Consider the following 26,300-nt stretch of genomic DNA (forward strand, 5'->3'; position numbering starts at 1 on the left):
AAACTGCACACTTGATCTCCCAAGTCACAGAGAGAGTAACCCCTCTTCCAAGGTTACTTTACTTCCTTTCATTCCTGCTCAAAGCTTTTTAATAAACTTTCACTCCTGCTGTGTAACATTTGCCTCAGTCTCTCCTTCTGCCCCTCAAATTCTTTCTTCTGAGGAGGCAAGAATTGAGGTTGCTGCAGACCCAGACAGATTCCCCCGCTGGGAACAGTGGGGCCACAGTGAGACCGGCAGCACTTGTGCCACCTGCAGGGGGGTGCTGCTTTCATGGTCAGGCTGTCGGCTGCAGGCCTTGGTCCTCTAGCTACTGGTGCGAGGCCTGGTTTTTCATAGAGTCCAACGGAAAAATAAGGCACGGAAGGAAGACTTGTTTCCTTCTTTTAAACTTTATTCCCTCATACTTACCCAGAAATTAAAAAAACAATGGAAATCTCAGGAGGAGGTTTCTCAGTAGAAGGAAAAGGGATGTATGGGGCAGTGGGAGGTGGAAGAAGGAGAGAGAAGGGGAGAAGGAAGGAGTAACAGAGAAGGGAAAAGAAACGAAGGAGCAGGGAGAAGTGAGAAGAAAAGGGAGGAGGGGCAGACACTGGAAGCTGCAGAAATCACACAACAGTTTCCCAGTGAGCCAAGGAGAAGTAAGAAATCTTAACTTGAAAGAAGAAGGGGAAGTGGGCTGGGGAGAGAGAAGGAAGAACAAAAGCAGCCATTGAAGGAGGAGCTGACCAGGTTCATCCTACATCCCTGACTCCTCTCATCAGAATTCCTGTCCCCCAACCATCGCTGGCCCTAACCCTGATGGGGTGAGGAGGGTCCAGGCACAGAAGTCACCTCCAGTGGCTCAGGAAGATCCACCACTCCCTGTGGGAAGGGACACTGGGGCTCGCCATACCTCCAACCACCCCTGGCCTCCATTAGAATCCTCTGATGCCAGCCTCCACCACGGTGGGACAGACTTTGGAACACACAACCCATTTGGAAGCCAGGCCTCCTGGAGCTTCAGAACGTTCGGTACAGAGGGACCTCATTGGCACTGTGACATTGGCAGGATGGCCCGGGGAGAACTCTCACTGAGGACAACTGGACAGCGCCAGCACACTGACCCAGCGACTGGGGACACAAAGAAACAGGTAGCACCCCATGAAAACATGATAAGAAGTAGCCGATGGCAACTGAGTTGTGTACTCGTCTAATGGAGCTGCCCTCACACAACTAGTGCTTCAGACGCAAGATGGTGTGGGTGGAAGTCACCTTCATCCCAGAGAGACACTCAGAGAATCCACAGAGGCATGTGAAGTGCCACTAAGACTTCAACCCTCTCTCACTCTCGCCAACAGTCTGTGAACCAAAACAATCCAAAGTTCAGATGCTGAGGACAGTAAAAGATCATCCAAAAACATTTTTTACTAGGCTACTACTTGAGGTAGTATAAGCAAGTCTTTAATATATGTTTAATTTTCAAATACCAGCCAAGATGTAAAAGAGAGTAATACTGAACCTTCATTTCAGATCTTATAAAAAAAGAAAAAAAAAGTCATTACAGGCTTCAGTGGGAGTTTTAATATGTGTAGTGAATTGATAAGAAATTTGAATACTTGCAGCGATCTGTAGCAATATATGATAAGCTATTTCAAGGTAAAATTGAATAATTAATCATTTAATACATATTTGAAAAGTTTTGAGTTTATAATAAGAAAAGTTCTATGTTAATTTAAAGTATTAACTAATATCTTCACCCCAATGTTTAGTAAAAAATTAGAAAGAATGTTTCCTTTATTATTCCCTATTTCCCACCTTTCCTCCATCTCCAGTGATGCTAATACCGAAGAATAAGATCTTTGGGAACTTTCAGATCTGTGTCACATTTGAAGGCAAACCCAAAGTTTTGTTCCTCTGTTTTAAATATTGCAATGTCTCTGTTCAGAAAAGCCATGCTTCATCATAAACTTCACACTTCATCATAAACTTCATCCTCATAATTAGAAATGTAAACTTAGGAAGCCCCTTCACACTGATTAATAGATTGTTTGGTTCATTTTTTCAATAATTCATTTATTCAGCACATATTTATGGAGTACCTACTATGACTGAGGCACAGTGCCAGCTGCTAGAGATTCAGAAATGATTAAGACAGAGTCTGTGACTTCAGTGAGGTATGCCAGTGAAATAAGGCAGAGATACACGTACTTAAGAGCTGGCAATGCCAGGTGGGAGGTGGTATAAACAGCCAAGGGTTGGTGGGAGAGCAAGGGAGGACCACGTCAGTGCACTCTGCCCTCAAGTGAGTGGCATCACTACTGCTCTTTACACAAAATGCCAGATTGCTGCCTTTGCTGTGGTGGAAGGTAGGAAAGCACGGGTAATGGCTCAGCGAAAGCATATAGAACATGTTCAGAAGACAGGAATGTGTAAGGCATTGGCAGGCAATGTGTGAGGCATGCTTTGAGTTTTCTAGTTCACACCTCACTGGGATCACAACAACATATAGCATGATAGGGCAGTCGCATCTCCTTTCTTAAAGTCCTCTCTTTCCTTGCGATCCATGTGACGACATTTGTCCTTTAACTACTACCTCCAAAACGAGTTCAACATTTTTAACTTTAGTCAGGACACCTCTTTAGCTTCTGACCTGTAAAAATAACTGCCTATATAATACGTCTTCTTGGATAATTCTTCAAAGGCAAGTCAATCTTACCTTCAAAACTGGTCCCAGGCTCTCCCTTCCCCTGCCCTTCCAAACCTGAGTCTTCTTCCCTTATTCCCTATCCCAGTGAGGGGCACCAAATCCTTCCAGGCACTTATGGCAGAGGCTTGGAAGTCTTCCTAGACAGCTAATTCTTCCCCTGCTCCAGTCCTTGCCAATATCCAATTACTAGCAATTCTTGTTGATTTCACCTTACACTATCACCTGGATTCCCATCGCAGCCTCCTGTCTGGTCTCCCAACATCTGCTCTGACTCACTTCTAACCCATTTTCCATTCTGCATTTGGAGGGATCTTTTCAAGAAGCAAATCTGGAAATGTCACCCCATCACTTAGAACACTTCAATGGCTTTTCCACTGCTCTTAAAATAAAGAGCCAAGTCTCTGATGTGGCCTCTGAAACCCACAGGACCTGGCCTTAGGCTCCCCTCCAGCCACACTGTCTTGCTCTTAGTTCATTGAAGGCCCATGTTTCTTCCTGACACTGGGCCTTTGCACATGCTGGTCTCTCAGGCTAGATCAACTTTCCTCCTCGTATACTTCCTTCACCTGGGGAACACCAGTTTAATCATTCCCAAGGAAGACTTTCCTGACTAGATCAACCTCTCCCATTAACTGCTCTCAGAGCACTTTTCCTTTCAATACTTATCACAATTATATTTTACTTATAAAACTCAGTATTTCTGTCTCTCTCATTAGACTGTATGTTCTATGAGAGAGGGATTTTTTTTCTCTCACTATTCTAAAACTACTGCTTAGAATACTGACAACAGTTAATAAATATTCCTGGAATAAATGCAAGATGAAGCATGTATGCATATGCATTTGGCCATCCTCTGTAACTTACTGATTTCCCTAAAAAATACAGGGTCTATCATGGTACCCAGTGATGGAGCTACCACATCAAGCTCTCTTTTTGATGCAATTTGACCAAAAGGCTTTATATAATTTCCAATTGTTTCCCCAGAATAGTATCCACCCTAGCCCCTTGAAAAACACAGCTTTGCTCTATTCTTTCTAGTTGAGAGAAAGAAACCCTACAGAAGTCTGGGTTGGGTTGAGGTCAAAAGTTTTAAGAACAGAGAACAAAATGTTCATTCTAATAATTACATCAATAACATTTAACTACTTTTAATATTAGAAAGCATTTATCTTTTGTTGTTTCCATTTTATCTGTATCAATATTTTCTAGAATAGACAAATACACAAAGCTTATATGACCTTTTCTTTTTTTTTGTTTCTTATTTATTTCTAAACCCCTTTAAGTACATTATTCCCAGCCTTCAAATATAAGGTGCTTTCCCCTAAGTTCCATTTACGAAAAAACATTCTTACAATTCTGTAATTGTTTGGAGCCCTTTGTACTCAGATATTTACAAACAATTAAAAAGTAATAAGTGACACCAAAGAAAAGGCAACAAAAGAAGAGATTTTGACTTCACTACAATTATAAATGCTTGTGCATTAAAGGACACTTTCAATAGAGTAAAAAGGCAAGCCACAGGTTGAGACACATATTTACAAACCATGTATCTGATAAGGGTTTAATATCCATAATATATAAAGAACTCCTACAACTCAAGTACAAAAAGACATACAATCCAATTAAAAAATGAGTAAAGAACTTACATGAACAGTTCTACAGAGGAGATATACAAATGGCTCATAAGCATATGAAAACATGTCCAACATCATTAGCCATTAGGGAAATGAAAATGAAAACCATAGTGAGATACCACGTCATGCCTACTGGGATGGCTAGTTAATAAAAAGAAAAAAGTGCTGGCAAGGATGCAGAGAAATTAGAACCCTTGTACATTGCTGCTGGGAATGTAAAATGGTGCAACTGCTGTGGAAAGAGTGTGGTGTCTCCTTAAAAAGTTAAACACAGAGGCACCATATGCCTAGGGATTCCAATTCTAGGTACTGAAAGAACTGAAAGCAGCATCTCAAAGATATATTTATATACCCATATTCAGTGCAACGTTATTCATAATAGTCAAAGGTGGAAACAACCAAACTGCCCATTAACGGATGATTGGATAAAATATTTGCTGTAGTCATGTTCTATAAAGTCACAGCAAACACTGAATTAGCAAATATTCAACTATTCCTCCTAGGGGAAGTTTGGGGTAATGGTCCTTACAACCTCTGGTTACATTTCATCAACTGATCTATACCTAATTTTGTTTCGTGTGTATTTCTGTTTAAAGACATCTTACTTAACATATATTCCTAGTTTGTTAACATTGAACTATAGCCAGCAGAACCATAACTCATGCTTCAGTAATGATTATCTGACACACCTATTTTCTCTGTGAGGCGCATCATAGCTTTCTTGAGCTAAAGAACACTAGCTAGCACTTCAGCACTACGTCTAGGGGCCAGCCATCTTAAACGGTGAAATCACCAAAAGGCATAAAAATGCAAAACATGTGGCAATAAATAGACTGTGAAAAGGATGACAGTTTATAGCATGAGAGCTGAAACAAGATGGCGGAGTGGTCCCTTGTGTGAGCTCAGCTGCAATGTGCTCTCTTGGCAACTCAAATTCTTTGTTACTCTGCATTTGTCTGTAAATGACCATGAATATCCTGTGAGTATTGACTTTGAGATTACAAATAAATGCAGTCAGTAAGCAAATATGCAACTACAGAATCCACTAATGAGGACTGACTTGATATATCTATGATGGAATGTTATTCTGCCATAAAAAGGAATGGAATTCTGATACATACTAAATATGGATGAACATTGAAAACATTAGGCTAAGCAAAATGAGCCAGGCACAAAAGGACAAATATTATATGATTCCACTTATATTAAATATATAGAATAGGTAAATTCATAGACTAGAGGTTACCAGAGGCTTAGGGGAGGGGATAAAGGGGAGTGATTGTTGAATGGGTTTAGAGTTTGTTTGGGATGATGAAAAGTATTGGATGTGGATAGTGGTGATGGTGGCACAACAATGTGAATGTAATTAATGCTACTGAGTTGTATGCTTAAAAATGAAAAATTTTATGTTATACACATTTTATGACAAAAATTAATAGATGTATTAATAAGATTAAATGGGTTGTTTTAATGTTCTGTTAAAATCAAACGCTGAGGGCATTAATAGAGATTCTTATTTACTCACGTCCTTTTAAAACAAGAACCCTCTTTAATATGTGTTTTCTTCTGGTTTATAGAACATATTTTAAAACGGGCTTACTATTCAATAATATCAATTGATTATTGAGGAATACAAGTTAATTAAATTGTGCAAGTCAGTTGTTTGGCCTTACTTCATGCTTTTGGTGAACACTGATGCAGTACTAGAATTACTCTTTTTGATAAATTGCCAAAAGCAGGCCACCTCGAGAACCAACAACTGATGTTTCTAATTTATGTTTGGAATAAAATTGTCTTTGCAGTACATCACATGTGGGCGAACTGGTACTCTTAGGTAAATTACTACTGGTACTACTGAGGTGTGTTGGCACTATCTGTCTATACTTTTCATCTTTTGCATTACTTTTCTTGCTTTCATCACCAACCTATTTCTCATCTGCCTCCTCCCCTACTGAAACCCCTGTTTTCCTATTGCCAGAGAGAGCCATCTGTCAGAATATGGCTGTAGTTACTATCATAATTCAAATATTCCCTTTTAAGTATTTCTTGACCCAACAATTACAAAGAAGCACTGCTAGATACAAACATAAATAAAATGTGCTAATGAGGAATGCAAACAGTATTAAAATGTAAACTTAAAATAGGAAGGAATTTGTGGCCAAAGAAAAACTGATTACGATTCTTTCAGTCTTTTAAAATGCATCATAAAACTAAAAATGTTTTGCTACAGAATAACAGTTTGGCTTCTTTTATGATGGCAAAGAAGGGTAATTACGATTGTCATGAAAACACATTGAGCAGCTGTATACTGTTAACAAAAGAACCATTATATGAGCTCGTAAAAGCTGGCACTTTATATATTCACATTTCCTAGAAATTAGATTGTCTTCCCAATTGGAGTCGATACCAAAAGAGACTGTTTTCTATTAATTGTGGCTTTGTACCAGTCAATTTTCAGAGCCAACTGGATCATCTTTCTTTTGGGATATATCCCACATATTATTATGTGGAATTTATATATACTGATTTATATACACTCAGAAGCATACAGTATAATGTTGCAAAGAGTAATTTTTTAAGTTCCCAGAGATCTGTAAATTTTTAACGTTAAAAAATGCCAGTTTCAGTAGATTCTTTCACCAACGTACATCTGTTTAGAAATTACTGAAAGAAATCATAACGCATAACTCTGCAGTTTATTTTATGAAGGCTAATTAATAGGTACTTACTCATTAAAGACTAGGTCTGGTGCAAAATAGAGAAATTGGCTGTTCGTATGTTTGTACGATCTCCAGCTCAAGGCAAATGATGATAGACACATCCAAGAATACTGGATTAGGGTAATTTGGTCCTCAAGAGGCAAGTTTTTAAATCCTGAAGAACAAAACAATTAATCACAGAAATACACTTAGCATTTAAGTACATTCCAGGAAGATGCTTCTTAAGTCAACCCCAAACAGCCACCTTTCTTTCACTTTTCTCTTTTCTGACAGACTCAAATCAATTCAACAGTCATTTACAGAGTGCCCACCACTGGCCCAGTCCTGTTCCACATTTCACTTTAAATTCATCCTAAATTCTAGATGAGGGTAAACTGCCAGGGCAAACTAAAATTGCAAAGTTCAGCAAGTTTCAGTGTGGATGACAGCCTAAAACCCTTGGTTAGATTGAGAGAATTTGTATTAACCTGTAAAACTTGCTTCGTCCCACCCACAATTAATAACACTAAAATAAAGGGTAATTTAATAACTGTCAAACCCTGTGTATCTGCAATAATGGTGGGAGATTTCATTGTTCATGAGTTTGTGGTGCTTAAAAAATGAGCATGTGGTGCCTCCTATGGTCCAGGTTAATACCAGACTTTGATAAAGTTCTATGGTAGAACATGTTTCCCTGGCACCTGTCCTCCCTGCCTGACAGACTCAAGCTCTTCTTTTGTTCTTTATTTTATTTATTTATTTTTTAAGATGGATTCTCATTCTGTCGCCCAGGCTGGAGTTCAGTGACATGATATTGGCTCACTGCATCCCAGGTTTCAAGCGATTCTCCTGCCTCAGGCTCACAAGTAGCTGGGGTTACAGGTGCCTGCCAGGACGCCCAACTAAATTTTGTATTTTTAGTAGAGACAGGGTTTCATGATGGTGGCAAGGCTGGTCTCAAATTCCTGACCTCAAGTGATCTGCTTGCCTCAGCCTCCCAAAGTCTGGGATTACAGGCATGGGCCACTGCACCAGGCCTTCTTTTGTTTTTTATCACCTCCCCCATCTCCAGGGGCATCATGTTATTTTTCTGCCTGTGGAGTTTCACTGGGCAAGCTCCTCTTCAAAGAATCAGTCAGTGGAGCTTTCCCCAACTTTTACAGCTGCTGTCTGACCACAGGTAATCTAAGAAACTGCTTTAGATTAATGAACTGGGACAATGTAATGGCAATTTCTAAGTGATGTTTCTGTAGATTAAGAGGGGCCTTATTAATTAAATACCATGAAACAAAAAAAAATGACTAAAATAGGAATTCCAGGGACAATTTAAAGGGTGCTGGGGGCCAGGTGATTATTTTTTAGACAGAAGAGTCATTCCAGGTCTCTTACAACTTACTTGCTAGGCCTTGCCTTACTTGGTCTACACTTAGATTAACCCTCGTTATGAGCCGCTAATAATGTGCTCAACTTGTGATTTCATGAACAGAATGTATTTTACCTTATTAATATTTTTGGATGAAATTTTCCATTTTGATCAACATAAGAAGTGTATGTCATTTTTTTTATTTTTAATTTCTTTTTTTTTTTTGAGACAGAGTCTCACTCTGTTGCTCAGGCTGGAGTATAGTGGTGGGATCTCGGCTCACTGCAGCCTCTGCCGCCCAGGTTCAAGCGATTCTCCTGCCTCAGCCTCCTGAGTAGCTGGGATTACAGGCACCTGCCACCAAGCAGGACTAATTTTTGTGTTTTTAGTAGAAACGGGGTTTCACCATCTTGGCTAGGCTGGTCTTGAACTCCTGACCTCGTGATCCATCTGCCTCAGTAAGCCACCTGCCTTGGCCTCCCAAAGTGCTGGGATTACAGGCGTGAGCCACTGCGCCCAGCCGTATCTGTCATTTTAACAATAAAATCCTTAACCCTGCATTCTCGGAAGAAATGAGCACATTAACCATATTTTTCCTATACACTTGATCAATTTGTTATCAATTTAAAAAATCTGATATCAGGATTTCATAGAACGCAAACTCCTCCTGCATGGTTGGAGATGGCGAAGTCAGTTGCCCAGACTTGTTAAGTTCAGGATGCAGCCTGTGAAAGGAGAGGCAATCCTACCTGGAAGTACCTTTGCCCACTTCACGACTTGGATCATCTGTTTGCCTGCTAAGCGGTTGAGCGTGGAGAGCAGATTTTCGGCTGTATCTGGTTTTGAGCTGTCATAGCCTGCATATACAATTTCAGGTTCAATGTTTTCAAGGACCATAACGGGGGAAGGTGTGAGCGCTCGTGAGATTGTGGAGAGCTGAGGAACCAGTGCTGTGTTGACCGAGGGTTCTTTTGCAGGAGCGATGTACGTTGTCCCTTCCTCTGGGCTTTGCGGGGGTGGGGGTGGGGGTGGGGGCTGCTGCTGCTGTGGCTGCTCCTCGTGAATCCCTTTTAACTTTCCCAACTTCTTTGACTTTCGTGCTATAAGAAACCATAAATGATAAGGCCAAATTAAAATTATGTTTGAAATATGCTGACTCACACTGGTTAAAGTACAGTTTTCCTCTAAATAGATCTTGTTATGTCAATAGGAACATGACCGTTTATTCCACTAAGAGAAAATATATAAAGCTCAATTATTATTACTTACTATTGGTATTAAGAGAACAAACTCCTTCCTTCTTTCATTCATTTTTACAAGTCTTCACTGCCTGTCTCCTATAAGAGACTGTATAAGCTGCATAGGAACCCAGCTAATATGTTCAGTATAACCAAGCCTTACCCGGTCCTCAACAAGTGTTCAGCCTAGTGGGGGAGGACTTAAGAAATGTACCACCAACTGCACCGCAGTGCAGGTAGAGATCGGTAAGGGTATTCAATTAGGAAAAGACGAAGTCAAATTGTCCCTGTTTGCAGACGACATGATTGTATATCTAGAAAACCCCACTGTCTCAGCCCAAAATCTCTTTAAGCTGATAAGCAACTTCAGCAAAGTCTCAGGATACAAAATCAATGTGCAAAAATCACAAGCATTCTTATACACCAATAACAGACAAACAGAGAGCCAAATCATGAGTGAACTCCCATTCACAATTACTTCAAAGAGAATAAAATACCTAGGAATCCAACTTACAAGGGATGTGAAGGACCTCTTCAAGGAGAACTACAAACCACTGCTCAAGGAAATAAGAGGATACAAACAAATGGAAGAACATTCCATGCTCATGGGTAGGAAGAATCAATATCGTGAAAATGGCCATATTGCCCAAGGTAATTTATAGATTCAATGCCATCCCCATCAAGCTACCAATGACTTTCTTCACGGAATTGGAAAAAACTACTTTAAAGTTCATATGGAACCAAAAAAGAGCCTGCATCGCCAAGTCAATCCTAAGCCAAAAGAACAAAGCTGGAGGAATCACACTACCTGACTTCGAACTATACTACAAGGCTACAGTAACCAAAACAGCATGGTACTGGTACCAAAACAGAGATATAGATCAATGGAACAGAACAGAGCCCTCAGAAATAACGCCACATATCGACAACTATCTGATCTTTGACAAACCCGAGGAAAACAAGCAATGGGGAAAGGATTCCCTATTTAATAACTGGTGCTGGGAAAACTGGCTAGCCATATGTAGAAAGCTGAAACTGGATCCCTTCCTTACACCTTATACAAAAATTAATTCAAGATTGATTAAAGACTTAAACGTTAGACCTAAAACCATAAAAACCCTAGAAGAAAACCTAGGCATTACCATTCAGGACATAGGCATGGGCAAGGACTTCATGTCTAAAACACCAAAAGCAATGGCCACAAAAGCCAAAATTGACAAATGGGATCTAATTAAACTGAAGAGCTTCTGCACAGCAAAAGATACTACCATCAGAGTGAACAGGCAACCTACAAAATGGGAGAAAATTTTTGCAACCTACTCATCTGACAAAGGGCTAATATCCAGAATCTACAATGAACTCAAACAAATTTACAAGAAAAAAACAAACAACCCCATCAAAAAGTGGGCAAAGGATATGAACAGACACTTCTCAAAAGAAGACATTTATGCAAAGGATATGAACAGACACTTCTCAAAAGAAGACATTTATGCAGCCAAAAGACACAAGAAAAAATGCTCATCATCACTGGCCATCAGAGAAATGCAAATCAAAACCACAATGAGACACCATCTCACACCAGTTAGAATGGCAATCATTAAAAAGTCAGGAAACAACAGGTGCTGGAGAGGATGTGGAGAAATAGGAACACTTTTACACTGTTGGTGGGACTGTAAACTAGTTCAACCATTGTGGAAGTCAGTGTGGCGTTTCCTCAGGGATCTAGAACTGGAAATACCATTTGACCCAGCCATCCCATTACTGGGTATATATCCAAAGGACTATAAATCACGCTGTGATAAAGACACATGCACACGTATGTTTATTGCGGCACTATTCACAATAGCAAAGACTTGGAACCAACCCAAATGTCCAACAATGATAGACTGAATTAAGAAAATGTGGCACATATACACCATGGAATACTATGCAGCCATAAAAAAGGATGAGTTCATGTCCTTTACAGGGACATGGATGAAATTGGAAATCATCATTCTCAGTAAACTATCACAAGGACAAAAAACCAAACACCGCAGGTTCTCACTCATAGATGGGGACTGAACAATGAGAACACATGGACACAGGAAGGGGAACATCACACTCTGGGGACTGTTGTGGGGTGGGGGGAGGGGGGAGGGATAGCATTAGGAGATATACCTAATGCTAAATGACGAGTTAATGGGTGCAGCACACCATCATGGCACATGTATACATATGTAACTAACCTGCACATTGTGCACATGTACCCTAAAACTTAAAGTATAATTAAAAAAACCCCAAAAATGGCTAAAATTTATTGAATGCTTACTAATGCCAGGCACTGTTCTAAATGCTCTATATAAATTAACTAATTTAATAATTTTATGAGTAGATTCTATTATGATTCTCATCGTAGAATAAGGAAACAGAGACCAGAAAGTTTAAGAAATATAAGATCACACATCTTGTGTATCTGAAATAGAGTTTAGAGGAAGGGTAAATTACTTCATATGCGAATATGATGGAGGTAGTGGGGGAGGTGGGAAGGTTGGGAGGTAGATGGGTAGATGGATATATAATTGGGAAGACAGATGAATGAGAGAACAATTAAAAAAAAAGTTAAGAAGCACCAAACTGAGCTTAGGTATGTGAGAATTACTTACGTTACAAATGTAACATTTCAATTTATTTAAAAATTCTTGAAGCAAACAGACACCTTCTACTTAATCCTAACAGTCATGAGAACTTACAGGACACAAATTTAACGTAGAGTAGGACTATGTTACACCAATTAACTTGATTTAAAAATAAGAGTAATTTGTGTTTATAATTATAGCCATTAATGTTTATCACGTTCATCACAGAAAATCTTACAATTCAGATAAAAGATAAGCTATCAAACAACAAAAGCTATATTAAATATTGGAACCAGGCTTAAAAGATGAATAAGACATAACTACTGGCTTTAAGAAGTTTAATATTAACAAAATTTTTAAACTTCAATAATTAATTTATAGACTATCTCTTTAATAAAAGATTTGAGGCACAGAAATCTGATTTTTAGAACTGTTTATCAAGGAAAAGCAGATGTATCATATTCACGTATGTTAATGGAAGATGCTGACCAAGAACTGCCCAGGAGTGCTGAGCCGGCACTAGTAACCCAGATACTTCCGATGAATGGATGAGTGAACAAATGAAAAATACTCAGCAAAGTGCCTCAAAAACTAGACAAAACAGAAAAGAACAAAGCACCCAGGTAATCTAAAAACCTCGTCAACTGACGACTCTATCAGAGCTTAAGAAAATACTCAATAGCATTAATTTGTCTTTTGGGCAATTAGATAAACTCTCCTCTAAGTCTCAACTGATTCATTTGAAAAATGGGCATGACAATGTCTCCCTCTCTTATCTCTCAGAGAACTAAATGGGTATGACAAATAAAAACATGTTGGAAATTATTATTAACATCTGAAATAACATGTCAATGTCACTTCCATTCTTCCCCCATAATTTTGTAAGCATTAAAAATATTCCAGCACATTAAGATGTTCTCATCCTTTATAGGACCACATCTGACGATAACCATGATTTATTGACTAGAACAGCCAATGGTGATATTTTCAAATTTTATTAAAAGTGACTTTTTTTGCAAACTAATGATAAAATTCATATTGCTTTAGGCTTTCAGTCTACAATGCTGTGCTTATTCTCACAGCTGATTTAAGGTCAATGATAGGAAATGTCATGAAGAATACTTAATATTTTCTCCAGCACTTACACACAAGGCTGTGGTCTGTAGCATAAACCTAGGGAGCTGATTATCGACATCACATTTAGCATTTCAGGTACATTTAACTTTATACTGTGATTTTGTGAATATATGTAGGACACTTGGAATTGAGTAATAATGCATATTTACTCCAATAGTTCAAGGTAATAAATATCTCCAGTGTATCTTCAGCCATGCGTATTTACCCAATATCTTTTCTAAAAGGGCCAAAAATACGGTTACTTAATTCATTATATTTATATCAAAGTAATGTTTCTAAAATGCTTGAATATTTTATACTGTTCTAAAACATGCTATATTGTAAAATTTAAGCTCTTCAAAGTGGGTAATAATGTCTTATGTATCTCTATAACATCATATCACTTCCCATGATGCTTATGGGTACTCAATAAAAATATCTGTTGAATAAATTGACCTTATTTAAAAATTTTAATAAACGTTAACAAACTATTACATATATAAAGTATTAGTTTACTTCCCTGTGGGAAATGTGGGCAAGCTTCTGAGATTTTATGATAAAATTTCTGAATTGTTAATTATTATTCCTTTTCAAAATTTCTACTGTGTAATGACCCACTTGTGGAGTTATTACTCTTAAAATACCGTATCTAAAATAAGCTAAATGTATTTGGCATTTCATGTTCCAAGCACAGTTCAAAAGAGCTTTTACTTGTTTTCAGCATTCCAATGCTCACCATGACCCTATGATAGGCACTATTTTCATTTTTCAGGTGAAAAAACTGAAACACAGAAAGAATAACTACTTTTTCATATTGCAGAGCTAGTAAATACCAGGGTGAGGATTTGAATCCAGCTAGGGCTCAGAGTTCACGCCCTTAACCTCTATGCTACACGCAGTCTCTCTTCTAAACCTTTTCTCTTTATCTAATTTGTACAATTTTTATACTTTAAGATTAGCTAGCATAAGCTTCAAATCCAAGTGTGTAATTAAGATGTTTGCTAATTACACAGGAACATTGCTGGCTGAAGATACTTAAGGAACATGTTTCTATTAACCAAAAGCATCAGTGAACATACATTTGGGAGCTTACCACTATTTAGCACCTTACTAAATCAATATTGAGTTTATGGCCATTGAGCTTTGTGATCTCATGTTCCCAGGTGGCCAGACCCAAACAGCATTTTCTCCATTGCCAGCAACAGTAGCTGTGTGTGTATCTGTGTGTGTGCACGTGCAGGGTACATTAATGTGACTGTAAATGTCTCCCAGTCCCAATTAAACTCACTTAAAAGAGGAGTTTCATTTGTTCTACCTGGATGTTATAATAACTAGTATGTGCTTAGTTGCTGCCCTCAGGTGCCTAGTCCTTAATTACTAGTAACATTTTGGCAGCCACTCTTTCCTGGCACTGCTGGGAGACAACTCCTTAGATTCTCGTGAATTGTTCCCCGAGGAACTGGCACTGGGGAGGCCCTGCTTCCTATCCTGACCAACCTGCAAAAGAGCAGGCAGAGCACATCTTGGTGGGACTCTATTAAAACTGTGACAGATTTCTAATGAGATCTCAAGATTCACAAGAGCTTTGAAACATGACATGGCAAGATTTCCTTTTTTTGCTTTGCTCTACCCTCCTGAGGCTGGTATGACCTGCTACATACCCTTTTGACAAGCCACTGTTGTGGCCGAATGATGGCTGACTAGGACTTTCACCACGTAAAGATTCTTTAGTCTTAGAAATGGTAATCAGGACAACTTTCCCCCTCTGGAGTATAGTAAAAGAGTGATATATAGTAGAATATGGAATCTTGTTCAATTACAATATTTCATTAGAAAAAAATAAAGTGAGAATTCTGTGATTGCAGAAATGCTTCATGCCATGTCTCGAAATTTTAGGTCTTGGCAGTAAACATTAGAGAGGTTATATTGAGGTTATATTAAAATATATATATTTTCTGTTCATAGGCCAAATGTAATTACTGCCCACAAAACAGTAACAGCATTCTCTTCCCCTTGCCCCCACCACCAACTATCTTCTTTAACAGACCATTTCTCCCGTCACCCTCATACATGGGGCACGAATTTCAGCCCAATAACCCTAATTGTTCTTTCCTCATCTCTTTATCTGCATGACTTCTCTTTGCCTTTTGACTGCCAGAGAAGGAGTACTCTCAAAGATAGGGGGCAACTAAGTAATCTGGCCATGAAACCAAAGGAAGCAATGTCATCCTTCTATAGGGTTAAGAACTAATTTGCACTAATAGGAAAAAGATCATCTAAATCAATCCCAATGCAATAAACACCAGTAGAACTGGGTCCCAGGGCAATAAATAATTAGCTTGTCAATTGATTATAAGGAAGTAGCATTTCAATTGTTTATAAATACTCAGAGTGGTTAAGAAAGTTGAATACAGGTTGTTTTTTAAAAAGTGTCTTCAAATATTCTCAGATTAATCTACATAATTTAATAAGTTAACACACATTATTGATTTTGTTGATATAGAAAACATGCTAAGGCAAACACAAACCCAACCTCTGATCACTTTAAAAGATATTCCAAATGAGTGAGTACCCATATATTACACTTTTTTTTTTTTGAGATGGAGTCTCACTCTGTTGCCCAGGGTGGAGTGCAGTGTCACCGTATCGGCTCACTGCAACCTCCGTCTCCTGGGTTCAAGCAATTCTCCTGCCTCAGCCTCCCAAGTAGATGGGATTACAGGTGCCCACCAGCACACCTGGCTAATTTTTTTTAAATATTTTTAGTAGAGGCGGGGTTTTACCATGTTTGGCCAGGCTGGTCTTGAACTCCTTACCTCAGGTAATCCGTCTGCCTTGGCCTCATATATTACATTTTAATGTGTGTGTAAAGCTATCCACAGATACCTGCATCTATATCTATAATAAATATAAATTTGTTGCAATTGTTATATGTTTATTACTTAGCAAATAACTAATATCCACCCATTGTATAAGAAGTACCCAGTTTGTGAGCAATGTAATGCTGACTAACAAGATCTGAGCCCTGATAAGAGATTACAATCTTAGGGAAGTTGAATCGATATATAATAAAGTAATTAGGTTTATAAAGCTGGCTATGATAAGTTTTGGGTCACTGGCATTTACAATATATTTGGAGAGAAAGACAATGGCAGAGAGAAGTTGTTTTCTCTCTCCATGGGAGCGCACACTATCCTGTCCCCTCTGTGGTAATTTCCACCAAGCCCTGGTTTGCTTTTGGTGTGAGGCAGATTACACCTAAGGCCTATGAGGACCAGGACACTTTGCTGTATGGGAATCCACCTGGAGTCAAGTGCCATTGACCCACCTAAGAGGAAAGTCCCTTAGGCCAGAAGCCAGAACTGGGCAGAGGGGCTCAAGGGAATCTGAGGGAGTCAGAATAGGGGTTCTCTGATTTTACAGAGACAATAACAAATTTCTGGAAGATGATTCCCCACAACAGAAATATACCACTGGAGACAGACAGGAAGTCAGATAGGGACAAAGCTGGGAAGATGCTTCTGAGGTTCTTCTGGGGCTAGACAGATGGTGAGCATGATTACTTTCATGGCATTTGTATTTTCTGTAGCTATATTCTTTTTTTCTCCTCTAATATGTACATTTTTCATCCCCCCTCCCCTTTTTAATGCCAATCAAACTCAGGAATGTGTGCACACAGAAGGGGTTTTCAAGGTGAGACAACATGTCTTCGAGGTCTGGCCAGGCTGGGGACCTCACTAGACTGAGAAAGAACCTCAGGGGAAGAGGAAACTCAGAACATCAGAGATTTAAATAGCTTCTGGTAATCATCTCTGGGCAATGGAGAAAGCTTCTGGAGCTTTCTTGTGCTCAAGGCCTGGCTGGTTTTGAATGAAAACAAGATAGGCCACTGCTGGACTGCGTCGCATGGGGCTGAGGCTGCCCTGTAATTCTGAAGTGCCCTCCGGCATCTCTTAGGAAGAGCTGCAGCAGTGGTGAGGCAGAGAGGTGGCTCGTGCCTCCCTGCCAGGGTGGGTGGACAGTGGATTGATTACGCCTGACAACTCCTACTTGGGCCCTGTCACTGTTGTGCTGATATAGACCTTGAGGAGTATCAGAAGGGAGTAACAAAATGACAAATCCTCTACCCACATGTTTTACCCTCAGGACAAAACATGCTTCTGAAAGAAAAAAAGGTAGAAAAGACTGCGGTTGACTTATTCCAGAGTAGAGGATGAGGTCTATGAGAAGCCCAATAACAGTTTCAAAAACTTAAAGAGACATTGGCTAAATCATGGGGAGCATCTATTTTCTATTTCCACTGAGGTCAAGATAAGATACGAAGGGTTTAAAGGGCAGAAGAAGGGATTTAGATTAGACATTAGGAGAATTTCCTCCCAGCATTCTGGAATGTGTTATGGAGAAAGCTTGGAATGTACTACTAGCAAGAACATGTACTATTCTTTTCTAAAAATTCTAAGATAATAGGTAAGCAGGCATCCTGCTTGCCTGAGGGCAGTTCTGCCCTAAGGTAGAAGAAAGTGATGAAATGAGTTATTGAGATCTGGTGGCCCTACAATGCAAGTAAATAAGACCCTCTGATGTACATTCCTGACTTAACATTTGTCTGAAAGAAATCTCTCTGGCTCATACTTTTCTGAAAAACAGGAATAAATCCCTTATATTTATATGTGTGGTAAAAGATAATTTCAGAAATACGTTTCCAAAATATGCACAAAGGGCAGACTGTGATCTCAGAATGCCTGCTTGAGAGAATGTCTAGCACCATGGGAAAAAACCAAACACCTAACGTCCTCTGTGCTCTCTTCTCCGCTCTATCCCACCCCCACCCTCCTTTTTTTGAAAGTAGTTTTACCATTATAAAGCAAGCTGTTTGCTCAGTCCTGTATGTAAAAAACACTCTTTGGTTTCTTGTAATCTTGAGATTACATTATTTTATTAGTGGAGAAAATAGTAAAGAGCTACATTAATGGAGAATCTATATGTCAGGTACTAAGATAACAGTTTTTAGAAATATCCCATTCAATGTCTTCATAAGCACACTATGAGGTAGGTACTGTGTTATCACCATGTACAGAGGGGTAAAGTGACTTATGCAATAACTATAAGTAGCATTAGAGGGAAGTGACTTATTGTAATGACATGAAAAACTACAATAGAGAAGTCCCATTACATTTGCAGACAACATCTAATGACATCTAATCAGAAGGTCAAAGGGGGTGAGAAGAGGATCGACAGCTAAAATGGCTTTTCTAAATTATCTATAAGGTCACCACTGGATCACCTCTGTTGACAGAGATTAGTCTTTTAAATAGGAGGCTTGTAACAACCTGTATCAATACACAAGTTGCTTTCATTTCTAACTCCCTGGGCAGCACAGTCAACTTCTTTACACTGGAAGGTTATTTTACTGTTACAGACAGTTCAGGCTTTTTGCTTTTGCTCCCTGTTGTGACACCTTGATTCTAACTGGAGGAGAATTTAACAATTTTATCTGACTAGATAGAAATCAATCTAGTCAGTCTGTATAAAAAAATAGAACTTACTAAGGAAAGACCCTACTACTTCTTTTATTAAAAATAAAGTTCCTGAGCTCCATTGCAACTGGTAACTTCTTCAGACAAATATATCATTATTTAGATGTAAATATCTAAATCAAATTTACATTCTTTAGAAAATAGAGTATCTGCTTTGTAAATTCTTATTCTTTGAGGATAACTATGCTGAAGACTGATGTATGTGCATGTGTAAAACAAACAAGCAAAAAAGAAAACCTCTAAGTAGTTTTATAATACATTTAAAATAAGAAAAATAGCACTATGATAGCTGTAGTCACACAGCAAATGGCCCCTCCCTCAGTTAAAAAGTTAATTCTTTAACAGCTTCAAGGGCTGCCTTCTTGGCATATGTCTCAGTAGAGAATTTATTACATGAAACACGATCTCATTGGGCATGCAAGGTAAATAGACTCATTAAGAATGTTTTATGAAGAAACATTACTGTTCTAACAAGGTCACAGGGGTGAATAAGTTATGAGAAAGAGACAAAAGGCAGTGACCTGGAAATGGACTGCAGCACCCAGCTTAGTTTACTAGGCCTTCCCAAGTTCTAGCATGATCTTCACTAGGCTTGGGCTGAAAATAACTAGTTAAACGCTGGAACCTACAGTGGTAGAAATGTGCCAGGAAGGGCCCTGTGCATACCTCCTCAAACTGTCAAGTCAACTCAAGCAGGGTCCACATCAAGCAAATATGATACACAAAAATAAGAGCTTACCAAACAGATAGATGAGGGGAACAGTTACACTAAGTAATAGTTTTTTAAAAAACAAAAATTTAAGCCAAAGATTCCTTGAATAAGCACTTAAAGAATATTTAAACTATAATACATGTACATTTGCTTGCACATCACTTTTTAGGGCTGTTTCAATTATTCTGTTCTCCCTCTAAACATTTGTTGCTACTTTAGTGCAGTGGTTTCCACATCTTGGTCCCTTGATTATACCCAGTGACTTGGAAGTACCCAAGACTTCTAAGACAGCTAAGGAAGTTGCCTAAATTTAATTTCAGAATTTTTTTTTATGATTAGTGTAATTTGTGTACTAAGAAATAAAAACTTTTAATGAGGAATAAAAAAATATATACACCAGGAAAGAGTTTTATCTCCACTATTAATTTTCTTCAAAATATTTCTTCCCTCTTAGTTCAACAGTCTTTCTGTGAAATAAATTACTTATGACTACATCATTATAATTTTAATTATTTCTTAAAGAACTATTACTTAACATATATTATCAAAAACTACCTTAATTATAATCAAATCATAAGTAATCCTTTACATTATTTATATGAAAAGAAAACTGTGTTTTACTCAAGAATACTAATGCTGCGATTATAACTGAACCATTAAAAACTATTAAAATTGCTTAGTAAGAAAAAGAAATGATGAGCCAGATAACCAAACAAAATAATAATCCTGTGAATTGATACAAAAATATTTTTCACAATTGTTTTAACAGTCTGTATTTCTGAGTATCTTCACTCTATTATTAAGAACATTTTACAAATGCAAGACAAAAGAAGCTAAGCAGAATTTTTAAACAATCTTCAAGTCAGAAGCTAGTACTAACATAAAAAAGGAAAAGCATAGTAAGTACATATTAATGAGTTAACAGGATGCCATGCAAGTTGGAGGGCAAAATTAAATAGGCCCGAGGAAAGAGAAAGCAAACCTTAATAGTTATTGCTTTTATGCATTTAAATATTACTCCACATTTTATTCCACTGACATTATCAAAACTAGTCTAAATTAAGAATTAATAGTAGCCAATGATGCATGTACTTCAAAAAAAAGTTATTTTTCTAGGCTGGGATCTCTTCAGGATACAGACTGAATTGGTCTGGAAACTCCCAGATAAAGCAGAGCCAAACAAAATCGCCTTTTTTGAATAAGTGATTATCTTGCAGTTGCTTCTCCTGTTTGGATTCCAGCTAGTCTCTGCACACAGGGTTGGTATTGCAGCATCTTGAGGCACTTTGATGATGTCTTGTGCCGTCAGGTCTCAGGGCACTGCCGAGGACCTGGTGGTGGGCAGGGCCACGCCAGAGTGGCCAGAATGGGGGCAGACACACAGGCCTGCCCTGCCCTGCCCAGCTCTGTTTACAGGACTAACTTCTGTTTTTTCATTTGGTATTCTGCCGCAGTGTAAATTCCAGAGCTTTGGTGGCTCTCTCGAAATCTAATTCTGCACAGCTGGCTGAACAAATGCCTCTTTAAAAGAATGTGCTTCCCATTTTAGTTTCAAAAGTATTCTTCATATTTCTATCATTTAGTCATACCCTACCACCCTAAAGGAAAAGGGTCCAAGAGAGGATTTAAGAAAGTTCTTAATATGTAAGATACCAACTCACTGAAAATAAGCTTTTGGGGAAAGTTTAACGTTAAAGGTTTTTTATTTTTCATGATTCCTTATAATCTGTATTTTCCATTCATACGAGATTGAACAATAGACTTGGATAGAAACAGTCAGCCGTTATCCATCAAAGCTGTGAAGGACCCGTCCTGGGAGGACTTCCGGAAATTTTAATGGGGGTAGTTCAGGAAGGGCAGCTGGGTCATTTCTGAAAGTTTTTTTGGGGGGAGACTGGGGGCTGCAATTCACATTTAAATTGCTATTAATTTTTAAAGTAACATCACATTGATAGTACAGAAATTAAACAAAACAGTTTTCGTTTCTTCTCTCAAATTGTTTGCCACTTCCTTGTTACTATTCTGCTTATGTTCTAATGGTAGGTTTCCCTTCATTTAAAACAAAGTCTGCTGCATGTGGTGATTTTCACACTTATATTCCTAGGTCCAAACAATGATGGATCTTCAACAAATGATTTCACTGATGGCTTTGTTAGTGTAAGGACAAGCCGCTCCTGGGTCACAAGGTGGCCCATGGCTGTCACTCCAGTGAAGCTCTTGACTAGGATTCAAGTCAGCTCTTCACTGCTGACTTAGAATAAGGCCAACCTTGTGCTATGATTTTAAAATGGGTGATGTGGTTCTAAGTCATGTACTATGTAAAACTCTCTTTTTAACCCTCATAATAATTTCAACCCCCAAATTTAAATGGGGCTAACAAAAGCCTATATAATCTTCCCTTTAGAGCATTTTTAGCCTTTAGTGATTTTTTTCGGACCCACAGTTAAGATTAGACATTCTCTTTTATAGTCAGATATTCTCCCTTCACAGATATGATCATAGAGGATAAAGATCATAAGGCCATGCCCAACATGATATACTCTATACTCAACTCGTTTGTTCAGTTTCTGAAGTATTACGCTTAGAACTTATCTAAGTATTTTATTGCATGGCACACAGTAGGCACTAAATAAGTGCTTACTGAACCAAGGGAAAGAAAGAGCAAATAAACCAATAAGTAAATGCTTTGCTGACCCTCTATACCAGGTTACTTTTCTTGATGTGATAACCACAGCCACCATTTTCTAATAACACTGTTAAGCGAAATGGAAAGAGAGGATGTTGGGTTTCACCCCAAACCCCAATGAACTAGGCTAGTCTACCTAGAAAACAATTCCAGGCAAGGCTCAACCCAGCATCACGCTGATAACAAAAGTAAGTCAAGCAATCTCCAAGAAGCAAAGCCAAGTACAGGAGCAGAGGACCTGACAGCCCTGTGGCCAGGGGGACCTAATGCTGTTTTCTCTGGCTGGGCAGCAAACAAGCAGGCGGTCCTGCCACTTCTAACCTTGAGAGAGTCTGAAGAGAGAGGAAACAGGGAGAAGCCAAAAAGAAAAGAGGCCTTTAGCTTCATAGAACCATACTCCAGAAATAGACTCCAGGAAAGAGGCAGTCTATATACTTAATCTTAGGGCCCAATAAACATCATTAAATGAGCCACAGCAGCATGGGCTCCTTTTTGTGGGTTGAATGATGGAAAGTGTGTTTGACCTTGACCCTCTCTTCCTTATGGAAGGGGCAAGTGATGCACAGAAAGACTAATCTCCCCCTGCCCCAAATGCCCATCATCAATTCAAGGTTTTAGTACCCAAATTGCAAGCACTCTAAGAGAATGAGAGCCTTCTAGACCCAGAAAGGACCTCACGAAACACCCAATTTAATCTATTTTAGATGAGAGGAAATAAAGTTCCAGAAAGATGAACTGGCTTGCCAGGGTTCCAGCTGATAGAGGTGGCATGTACACGGAGACTCACCATTTCAAGTTCAGTGGCCTGTTAGCGGTGTCAGCACCAGAACTGTTATGTAGGAGGGACTTAGAGAAATGTGTGAAAACACATTTGCTTCATAAGACATTTATTGATATTTATTTAGGATAGGTTGGAAGGCATTTGGTGAAAATTATGAGGGGAAGGCTAAAAACCTCTCCCAAGGCCATCCAACAACCACTGTAATATCTGTTTAATTTGGCATAAACACAAAACCATCCAAATGGAATTTCAGCTTTTTACAAAATAGTTTCTTCAGAATTACCGTGAGAAGCTACAAAGTTAGATGACAAAGTTATCCATGACTCTTGGTGGCCAGCTCCTTAGCAGATAGCCAGTGAGTTGTCTTACCTGTGTGGGATGTGCCTATGTTTGTAATGTGCCTATGTTTAGTAATCACGTACCAAAAATATGCCTTCATAAAGTACCCAATAATTACCATGCATCACTCTAACTGTAAATTTCAAGAAGACACTAAAGAATTGTTGTTGACCTGACTATCAAAGCCCTGTGAATTGAAATCAATATACCATAACATGTGAATGTTAGATACAAGTTGAAGCCCCTGAAGGCAGGTCACTACGGTGGCATAAACATCAGTTTTTTCTAAGTACCAAGCAGCATCTGGATGAATAGATCTACGATGACCATATTGCCTTCACTGTACATGGCCTAAACTCATCTCTCTGGAAAGTTAATCTTTCATAACATTAACATCAGTATGGTTAAGAAATCACTTACATAAATTATTCTCAATATTATCAGCTGTTATAGTCCACACTTTTTTTTTCTCACTTGGTTCCTATGCTTAAAAAGCTAAACAAAATTTTAATCTTGTATTTGCAGGGAGCTCCTCTCAAACAACTTCTTCTGAGAAACACATATGATATATTACAAAAAAGACTGAGAAAAGAAATTAGAAATTTGGGAAAGGAACCCTGTAAGATATACTATGTAGCTACTTCAACAACTCATAAGGATCAAATATGATTTATGATTTTTTATATATATATAAAATCATGTATATAAATATATATATATTCATCTCTTTATCCTCAACTATGCTTTAATTTACTTACTTCCCAAAGTGTAAATAACTACTAAAAGCTATGGCTATTTTAAGGGCTTAATAAAAGTAATGGGATATAACTGAGAAATTCAAATGATAAAAGATCTAAACAATGATGAAACACATAAAGCCAAAGACTATGAAAACAGAGATGATCATATTTCTTCTCAAACTCTGGTCAATGGGTGATCTTCCTTATAATCGCCTCAGGGCTTACTCAAGATGCAGAATCTTGGGCTGCCCAAAGTACACATGGCAGAGTATCTACAAGTGGAGGCTGGGAGTCTTCATTTTTAACAAACTTCCCATGTGATTTTTCCTGCACTTTAGAATTGAGAACTATCAACCTAAAGGTTCTGAATGAGATTACAGAAAGCAGGAGAAAGAGAGAAACTGAGAAAAGATTATTTGTTAACAGGAAGGAAGAGAGGGAGGGAGGGAAAGGACAGATATTAAAAATTCGGTCTACACCATGGTTTCTCAACTTCATTGACATTTTGGGGTGGATAATTCTTTGTGTAGAAATGGTCCTGTGTATTGTACAGTGTTAGCAGCATTCCTGGCCCTCTACCCAAAAGATGCCAGTAGCAATCCCCAACCTCCAATTGTGACAATAAAAAATATTTCCAGACTTTGCCAAATGTCCCTTCCAGGGGTAAAATCACCCCTGGTTGAGATTCACTGGTCTATACTAAGGAAGTTGTTAAAGCAAGAATAGTGAACTAGAAAGATCATGAAATATCTTGGGTATATAAAAAACAATCAAATGAAAACTGAAATAAGAAGCATGCTAATTCATTATGCTCCTAAAGTTAGTTTCCTTAATAACAGAAGTCATAAACTCAAAAGTGAACTCAGCATAATAAAAAAATTCATTTTCATCTTTCAAAATTTAGCATATTTCACACAAACATTTGCACTTCTGACACTGCTTGAAAAAAAATTTTTTTTGAATCTGGCAATACCTGCAACAAATAGGCCTAGGCCTGAAACTGGCCACTCCCTTTGGCATGGCAACAAACAGCTCGACCTGGACTGGCCACTCCCCTTCGATGGAGCATTCACTTCCTACCCCCATGCTTTATAGATGGGTGAATTCTATAAAAATATTCCATAAATATGTCATGGGTATTGTAAGAGATTGGAATATGTTTTAAATATGTTTATTTAAAACTTACATTTAGTTTCCTAGACGCCAAAGTCTTAGTAGTAGGGCCACACTTTTAATCTACAAACATAATTTACAAGAAACACAAGCACAAGTACACAGTCCACTAGAGAAATATCCAAAGTTTAGTGTAATCATAATATCAGGTTTATTATCACAAGACATGGCCAAGTACCCTGCCACACCCAAAGGGTGTATGTACTGACTGACAAGCACATATCCTGAATGTTATTACACTCATAAAAAAATGAGTAATGACTGGTTGATCTCAACATTCACACTCAAATCAAAATTCAAACTGGGATTTCCACAACAGGCTTCCTTACTAGCCATCCGTTAAAAAGAATATTTGTTCCTGTGACAGAACAGGGCTTCCCCTAAATGCACACTTCCTTCAGCTGTGTTGCTGCTACTGGTCCCCAAGCGTCGACTTCCTGCTGACACCACCTGGAGGTAAAAAGGTCCACACCCCTAGGTTTATGGTCTATGTCTCATCTTTGAAAGTTGCACCTCTTTCCCTATTCCATGCCAATTTAAGTGCACAATTAAACATGACTGCAATGTGAAGGAATTTCCAGGTATGAGCTCTACAGAGTTACTTCAATCACGAGTGCAGCTTCACACTCCCCAGTTATCTAGGCACACATTTTTATCAGGGATGAATGCCTTATAGCAGTGGTTCCCAACCTTTTGGGCACCAGGGACTGGTTTTGTGGAGGACATTTTTTCCTTGGACAGCGATGGGGAGGATGGTTTTGGGATGAAACTGTTCCACCTCAGATCATCGGGCATTATATTCTCATAAGAAATGCACAACCCAGATCCCTTGAATGTGCAGTTCACAATAGGGTTCGTGCTCCTATGAGAATCTAATGTGGCTGCTGATCTGACAGAAGGCGGCACTTGCCCATCACTCACCTCCTGCTGTGCGGCCCAGTTCCTAACAGGTCAGGGACCCAGTATTGCTGCCTTATA

The 26,300-nt window shown here is 38.6% G+C and overlaps 1 protein-coding gene across 10 annotated transcripts in view; it reads right to left on the minus strand.

The window, feature by feature from the left end:
* NR3C2 (nuclear receptor subfamily 3 group C member 2) overlaps positions 1-26,300 on the minus strand; it is a 366,559-nt gene that overhangs the window by 66,653 nt on the left and 273,606 nt on the right. For 5 of the 10 annotated variants that reach the window (NM_001437655.1, NM_001437654.1, NM_001437656.1 and 2 more), the window contains exons 5-6: positions 9,135-9,485; positions 7,053-7,197 (exon numbers count right to left, since the gene is read on the minus strand). The exons of 1 other annotated variant lie outside the window; for it this stretch is intronic. In NM_001437655.1, coding sequence (NP_001424584.1) covers positions 7,053-7,197; positions 9,135-9,485 — 496 coding nt within the window. Of the gene's footprint in view, positions 1-376; positions 1,342-7,052; positions 7,198-9,134; positions 9,486-26,300 lie in introns of those variants that run through there. 4 more of the 10 variants (NM_001437658.1, XM_011531978.3, NM_001354819.1 and 1 more) reach the window with 2 other exon arrangements.

This window comes from Homo sapiens, chromosome 4 (assembly GCF_000001405.40).
Source record: "Homo sapiens chromosome 4, GRCh38.p14 Primary Assembly".
NCBI classification, from domain to species: Eukaryota; Metazoa; Chordata; class Mammalia; order Primates; family Hominidae; genus Homo; species Homo sapiens.